The sequence below is a fragment of the Homo sapiens genome, chromosome 6, assembly GCF_000001405.40.
Source record: "Homo sapiens chromosome 6, GRCh38.p14 Primary Assembly".
Lineage (NCBI taxonomy): Eukaryota > Metazoa > Chordata > Mammalia > Primates > Hominidae > Homo > Homo sapiens.
Genome location: NC_000006.12, coordinates 60,842,288 through 60,850,357, shown reverse-complemented (window position 1 = coordinate 60,850,357; position 8,070 = coordinate 60,842,288). Strand labels below are relative to the sequence as shown.

The window sequence follows — 8,070 nt, the reverse complement described above, 5'->3', positions numbered from 1 at the left end:
ATGACTATGTGCCTTGGGGATGGTCATCTTTTATTGTATTTTCCAGGGGTTTCTGTATTTCCTAGATTTGCATGCCAGCCTTTCTAGCAAGATTAGGAAAATTTTTATGAACTACATCTTCAAATATATTTTCCAAGTTGCTTATTCCCTTTCTTTCTCTCTCAGAAATGCCAGTGTGATATAGATTTGGTCTCTTTACATAATCCCATATTGCTGGATCTTTTATTTTTAAAAATTCTTTTTTCTTTATTTTTGTGTGACTGAGTTGATTTGAAGAACTGGTATTTGAGCTCTGAGATTCTTTCCTCAGGTAGGTTTATTCTGCTATTAATACTTCTTTTTTTTCTGGAGACAGGGTAGACAGGGTCTTGCTCTGTCACCCAGGCTGGAGTGTAGTGGTGTGATCTTGGCTTACTGCAGCCTTCACCCCCTGGGCTCAAGCAATCCTCCCACCTCAGCCTCCTGAGTAGTTGGGACCACAGATATGTACCACCATGCCCAGCTATTTTTTTGTATTTATAGTAGAGACAGGGTCTTGCCATGTTTCCCAGACTGATCTTGAACTCCTGACTTCAAGTGATCCACCTGCCTCGGCCTCCCAAAGTACTGAGATTACAGGCATGAGCCACTCACTGCACTGGCCTGCTGTTAATATTAATACTTCTGATCATATTATGAAATTCTTGTGGTGAATTTTTCAGCTTAAAAAGTTTAATTTGGGTCTTTCTTAAAATGGCTATTTCATCTTTCAGCTCTTGAATTGCTTGGCTTCCTTGGAATGACTTTCAACATTGTCCTAGTTCTTGATGAGCTTCCTTGCCATTCGTATTCTGAATTTCATGTCTGTCGTTTCAGACATTTCAGACTAGTTAAGAACCATTGGTGGGGACCTAGTGGGCTCATTTGGAGGTAAGGGGACACTCTGGCTTTTTGAAATGCCAGAGTTCTTCCACTGATTCCTTCTCATCTGGGAGGGTTGGTGTCCTTTAACTGTGTTTTAAATTGAGTATAGTCCATTGGCTTCATTTGTGGAAGTTTTCAGAGGGCTAAGCCTCTGTACTGGATCTTTGTTGTTGAATTCTTGCCCTTGATTTTGCAGGAAGCAGAATTAGCCAAGAATTTCTTGATGTTGTAGTTTTGGCTGTGATCCAATAGAAGACAGTTGAGAACAATGGGCTGTAGATAAGCACTTACTCAGCTTCATGGCTTCTATGTGTATCCTTTCATTTGCAGCTGTGCTCTCTTCCCCAGAAGAAGTTTGGGGCTGGGAACCAGCTTTATCATTCAGCACCTTATGCAGGGTTCCCAGCTTCCTCCCTCTTCAACCTCAACATCTGCATCTTTTCCCCATCCACATTCAGCATTTTGTCTCCAAAGACCTGTTCAAATTATGTTGGTTTAAATCCCAGTGTCTCTCCATGGGGGCAGCACTTCCTGGCTGCAACTCTTGCCTGTTTTTGCCTGATTACAGTCTTTGAAAAGGAAAAACAGAATTAGTAAAAGATGGGATGATGGATTAGGCATCACTGTATAGGTGCCTTTACAGAGGGTATTGAGTGGTTACCACTGATCTACACTAGTCCAGTTCTTACGATTTGTTATACTATGTATGGAGTTTTCAGCCTTCTTCAAAGAATAGTCTTTTGGGTCAGCAGGACCATCAGGGACAGAGAGCTTAAAGATACTAACAGAGATTCTGTGGCACTAATTCATGGTAGGGTTGGATGGTCAGTCTTCTTTTTTTTTAGTGTACATGATTTACTTTCAGTTTATTTTAGAAATAAAATATTAGGTATACTTAGGAGGCAATATTAGTGAGTTTAGGTTTAGCAAAGATTTCTTAAATTTGACAGAAAAAGCACAAGCTATAGAAGAAAAATAAATCAATTGGACTTTATCGAAGTTAAAACATTTGCTTTTTAAAAGATCGTTAAAAAATGAAAGGGCAAACTACAGAGTTGGAGAAAATATTCACAAAACACAAATTTGACAATATTATATATATATATATCCTTTGTGTGACATATGTGATATATTTGTATAATGGCATACTACTCTTACAACTTAATAAGAAAATTCAACTCAAAATTGGACAAAAAATGTGAACAGATACTTCTCTAAAGAAAATATATTGATGACAAATGAGCACATGTAAGGATATTCTTTATCATTATCATGAGAAAATACAAATTAAACCACAGGGAGATATTACAGCATTCCCATTAGAATGATTAAAATGAAAAAGACTGACCATACCAAGTATTGCCAAGAATGTAGGGGACCTGGCGTTCTCATACATTGCCACTGTATTGTAAAATGGCAGTAATGTTGTAATGGCTAATTTTATGTGTCACCTTGACTGGGCTGAGGATGCCCAGATTGCTGGTAAAACATTATTTCTGGGTGTGTCTGTATGAGGTTCTCCAGAAGATATTAACATTTGAATAAATAGACTGGGTAAAAAAGATCTTCCCTCACTAAAGTGGGCAGACATCATCCAATCTGTTGTGGGCTCAAATAGGAATAAAAGGCAGAAGCATGAGCAAGAATATCCATCTTCTCCTTCTCTTGGACATCAAAGCTTCCTGGTTCTCAGTCCTTTGGATTATGGGTCTTATATCAGCAGGACTCCTCTGCCCTCCTGCCAGTGGTTCTCAGGCCTTTGGCTTCAGACTGGGACTTATATCATTGGCTCCCGTGGTTCTCAGGCCTTTGGACTTGGACTGAATTACACCACTGGCTTTCCTGGTTCTCCAGCCTGCAGAAGGCAGATGGTGGGACTTTTTGACTCCCATAATCATATGAGTGAATTTCCATAATCTTTCTTTCTCACTCTTTCTCACTCTTACTTTGAAGAACTCTAATACAAATGAAACAGTTCCCTAAATAGTTAATAATGAAATTATTAATAATGACCCAGCCATTTCACTTCTCAATATTTATCCAAGAGACATGAAAATATTATCTCAATTCAAACACTATACAGGACTATTTGTAGCAGCTTTATTTGTAATAGTCAAAACTAGAAACAATCCAAATATTCATCAACAGGTAAATGTGTATATAACATGTGATATATCCATATAATAGAATACTGCTCAGCAGTAAAAAGGAATAAACTATTGATATATGCAACAACATGGATGGACCTCATAGTACATATTCTATAACTATTTGCATAAAATTCTAGAAAATGCCAGTGAATCTAAAATTACAGAAAGTAGATAATCAGTGCTTGCCAGCAGATGAGGTAAGGAGAGGAGGTGTGGCAGGGAGGAGTTATAAAAAGACAAGAAGAAACTCTAGGGAGTGATGGATTGTCTTAATGTGTGGTGACAGTTTCAAAGATGTATACTTTTGTCAAAATTTATCAAATTGCATACCTTAAATATATGCATTTTATTGTATATAAGTTATAATGCCAATAAAGTTCTAAAGAGAGAAAAATAAATAAATGCAGTTACAAGGAAAGAAATAAAATAGCTGTAAATCTGACATATCAGTTATTCATCATCACTAGTCATTAGGTAAGTGCAAATTGAAACCACAGTGAGATAACACTTCATACCCATAGAATGAAGGATGGCTATTATTAAAAAATGAAATATAAGAAATATCAGTGAGGATGTGGAGAAATTGCTGGTGGAATGTAAAATGGTACAGCTGCTATGGAAAACAGTATGGTGGTTCCTCAACAAATTAAGCATAGATTACCATATGATCTACTAATTCCACTTCTGGATATATACACTAAAGAACTGAAAGCAGGGACTTGAACAAATATTTGTGCACCACTATTTATAGTAACATTATGCACAATAGCCAGAAGGTATAAACAAACCAAATGTCCATTGAAGGATGAATGGATAAACCAAATGTTGTCTATACATAAAATGGAATATTATTCAACTTTAAAAAGGAATGGAATTTTGATGCCTGCTGTGGCATGGATGAAACTTGAGAACATTATACTAAGTAAATGAGACAGGCACAGAAGACAAATACTGTATGATTGTACTTCTGTGAGGTGCCTAAAATAGTCAAATTTATAGAGAAATAAAGTAGTTTAGGAGAAGAAAAACTTTCCCTCTATCCTGTTAGGTTCTCTATCTGGGGCACACTCATCAAATTGAAAAAAGATTAACAGTAGAAAAGGCATGCAAATTTTAATATTTTTACATGTACAGGAACTTCACAGAAAGGAAGTGAAAACCCAAAGAAGTGGTTAAACTCCAGCCTGGGTGACAGAGTGAGACTCCGTCTCAAAAAAAAAAAAAAAAAAAAAGAAGTGGTTAGACTCAAGGGTTTATGTACCATTTTAACAAAGGGCGATAGGTTGTGGAGAAGTAACTAGAAAATGAAAAGAACATTGGGTTTCTAACGATGATAAATTGTTGGAAGGTACTAGGAAATGTATGGTAGATACAGAATGTTTAGTAAGGTTTGTTATGCAGTCTCATCTCAGTGCTGTTTGTGGTCTTCCTGGTACAGGACACGGGAACACCTTTACAAATAGGAACTTATCTCACCTTTACAAAGAGAAATGTATGCCTTGCTTTTAGGCAGAAAGGGAAGGGCAGAAAGTGAATTATTGTGTAATAAGTGCAGAGTTCCTTTGGGGGAAGATGAAAAATTTGTGGAGATGCATAATGGTGATAGTTGCACAACTATGTGAATGTACTTAATACCACTCAACTGTATATCTAAAAATGGTTAATATGATTTAAAATACTTTTTTTGAGACAGAGTCTCCCTGTGTAATCCAGGCTGGTAGGATCTCTGCTCATGGAAACCTCTTCCCCATGGGTTCAAGTGATTCTCCTGCCTCAGGCTTCTGAGTAGCTGGGATTACAGGCACCTGCCACCACGCCCAAATAATTTTTGTATTTTTAGTAGAGACAGGGTTTTGCCATATTGGCCAGGCTGGTCTTGAACTCCTAATCTCAAGTCATCTGCCCGCCTCAGCCTCCCAAAGTGCTGGGATTACAGGCGTGAGCCACCGTGTCCGGCCTAAAATGATTTTATATTACGTATATTTTACCACAATAAAAATATTGAAAACATATTCTGATATGTCAAACAGGATCCCTAAGGAGCAAATAAATTTTCGTATCTAAACTAAAGGATTTTTGTAATAAGAAATAAAAAGGTACCCTGGGAAAACAAGCTGTGTTCCTCTGAGGAAGGAATTTTCTGAAAGGCTGTGATATAGGCTGACCATAGTCGGAGAGGTAGGCACAGAACACTTTAGATATCATCTCAATCTAGAGGCATGTGAATTATATGTTAAAGAATGGAAAGGGAGATTCCTGTTTAAAAGGAGGCTTTGGGCCAGGCACGGTGGCTCACGCCTGTAATCCCAACACTTTGGGAGGCCGAGGTGGGCGGATCACCTGAGGTCAGGAGTTCAAGACCAGACTGGCGAACATGGTGAAACCCCATCTCTACTGAAAAATACAAAAATTAGCTGGGTGTGGTGGCGTGCACCTGTAATCCCAGCTATTCGGGAGGCTGAGGCAGGAGAATTGCTGGAACTCAGGAGGCGGAGGTTGCAGTGAGCCAAGATAGCACCATTGCATTCCAGCCCAGGCTAACAACAGTGGAAGGAAGGAAGGAAGGAAGGGAGGGAGGGAGGGAGGGAGGGTGGCAGGCAGGCAGGCAGACAGGCTTTCCTAGCTGTTTGCCCTTCCATCTTAGGGCACATCTTAAAGTAGCAGCTCCTACTGTTCTGGCTGATCCATAGCTGAGTTCCTAATCCCTTGACCTGCAAATGGCTCCATTCTCCTGTTCTTCTGGAGCCTTGGTTTCTATATTTTTCATGCTACCATGACAATATCTGCTTTCCTACAACTTTATAGTGCCATTTGAAGATGGGCTAAAATTAAATAAGCCTACAAATTTCCTTTAGTTCCTGGGACTAAACAGTGTTATTTCTGCTCAGCCCATGTGAGTGCAGCATCAGTCTTCAGAGTCCTGCTGCTTTTTGCTACACAGTGTGTCGAGGGAACAATGACAAATGACCCAGATTATATTTATTTATCAGGAGTTAGGGCTAAAGGCTTTCTCATTTAGAGTTATCCCATCTCTATAATCTTTTAAAAAAGAAGCACCCTAAAAGCAACTTACATATGGAAGGAAATATAGTAAAGTCACCATAGCTAAGACTTTCTTGATTTCCTTGTTTATACTTTGCTTCTACTTCTTGCATCATTTCATGAATATGAAAGAAACAGACCAGTTTTCTGGAACATTCTGCCAGTTTTTGTTGAAGGCTAAAATGTATTATTGTATTTGTGATTAATATAAGAAAGGTAATGTGTTTTCTTCTTTCTAGGTTACTTTTTCTTATGTTTTTAACAGAGACTAACTTTAGATTACCTATAATTCAAGAAATATCTATTCTCAACATCCCACATCACTGTATGTTCTTTGCTAGGTTATTGGGCTCCTGCTGTGCAATTTAGATCCTTCTTTGTCATTATTTTCTCAAGGGTTTTCAAATTTCCCTCTTTGAGGATTATAGCAATGCACACTTACCCCTGCAGCCCGCTGGGTGGCAGGCAGCTTTGCTACCTCATGTGGCTAGGTGATTTCACAGAGGTGGCAATGATAATTCACAGAGAAGTAAACAGGAAGCACCTTAAATTCAAGGTTCTGGAATGTCGCTCCTGCTGCTGGTCTTCTGGAAATGTTGTGCATTTTTTCTTTTTAAAACTTAGGGTTTCTGTAGAAATAATCTGTTCCATCCTATATTAAATGAGAATTAGAAAGATATACTCAGTCAAATCAGTGATTTGCTGGAGTGGAGTCAATGGCCTGAAACTCCCTTGCTGGAAAGATGGCTCTGGAGTATGTGAGCTGGATTCAGGAGGCAGCTAACAGCCAGGGACAGCAGTATCATGGCAGCTGAGTTGAACAGCATGGGAATAGCTCGAAAGAATAAGCAATGGCAGCACAGAAAAGCAGCTGCCAGGAAGCAAAATTCAGAGAGCATGTGAGTCACAGGAGAGAGGTGTCACAGATTAGAATAGAGAGTTTATAGGAGAAAAGGAAAGTGTGTCAGAAGGAATTATGGTTGGGAAAGCAAAGACCTTGTATTGTAAAAATAAAAAAAATTATATATCTCTGAAGGTGCTTGTAAACCATTTATGATAATAGGAAAAAGGAACAGAAAAAGAAAAAACAGGGTTATTTGATAAAGAGAAGGGGATTGAACCAACGACTTTGTCAAATCTAATTATGAATGTATCCTTCCTTTAAGAAGGGCTTGGTAGATCAAAGGTAAATTCAAATTATATATTTATTTGCTACTACTGTGAAGTTTCTTGAGCCATTTAATAATCTCATTCAGTCACCCATGAAACTCTTATTCTCCTGCAAATGATTATCCATGTTATGAGTTGGTTTTTAAGGCTCCTAACAAAGATTGCTTACAAAAACATGTCTTTAACCCTGTAGCCCTTGTCCCAGGTTCTGATGGTCTGTCTCTATTTGCGTTACTGGACTGATGGTCCAGGAAAGAGTGCAGGAATGTGCGTGTATCTTGTTTTCATAAGGAAAATAACCATGATAATTTTTAAACATTATTTTGATACTTCCCTTTCTACCAAATTAGTGATTTTGAAAGTTGTCTTACCTGGACTTTTGTTAGTGAAGGAGATAAAGGCATTAGGATAGAAATTCATGCTGAGTATAAGTTTGCCTGTTCTTGAAGATCTTGTGGATCTACTTTACAACATATGGTCTCTGAAAATATGATGATACCTAGTGCATGTGAAGGATATTTTCAAAATGGTTTGGTTCATAAAACTGTCAGTTGATTTCATATATCTAATTGAAACATTTTCCATCTAAAATAGGGCAATTTACAGAAGTGTCTCTCTGGTTTATTTACATTGCATATTCCCATAAAGCAGCAGGTTTGCAATAAAGCATTTGACACCCCCATGGTATTTTGAAAGAAACAATATACAATCTGGCACAAGTTAGCACCAGTGTGAAATGGCAGGCTGGGGGATATCTTAAACAGCAGTAACTTTCAAAACTAAATGAAGTGTCATCTTAAGGAGG

General features: G+C 38.1%; 1 annotated feature.

The window, feature by feature from the left end:
- Window positions 6,248-6,843: an enhancer, noted in NCBI's record as "OCT4-NANOG hESC enhancer chr6:57811262-57811857 (GRCh37/hg19 assembly coordinates)". NCBI's record gives its function as "activates a minimal SCP1, AML or CMV promoter by ChIP-STARR-seq in primed H9 embryonic stem cells {active_cell/tissue: H9 hESC(primed)}" and the evidence as "EXISTENCE:reporter gene assay evidence [ECO:0000049][PMID:30033119]".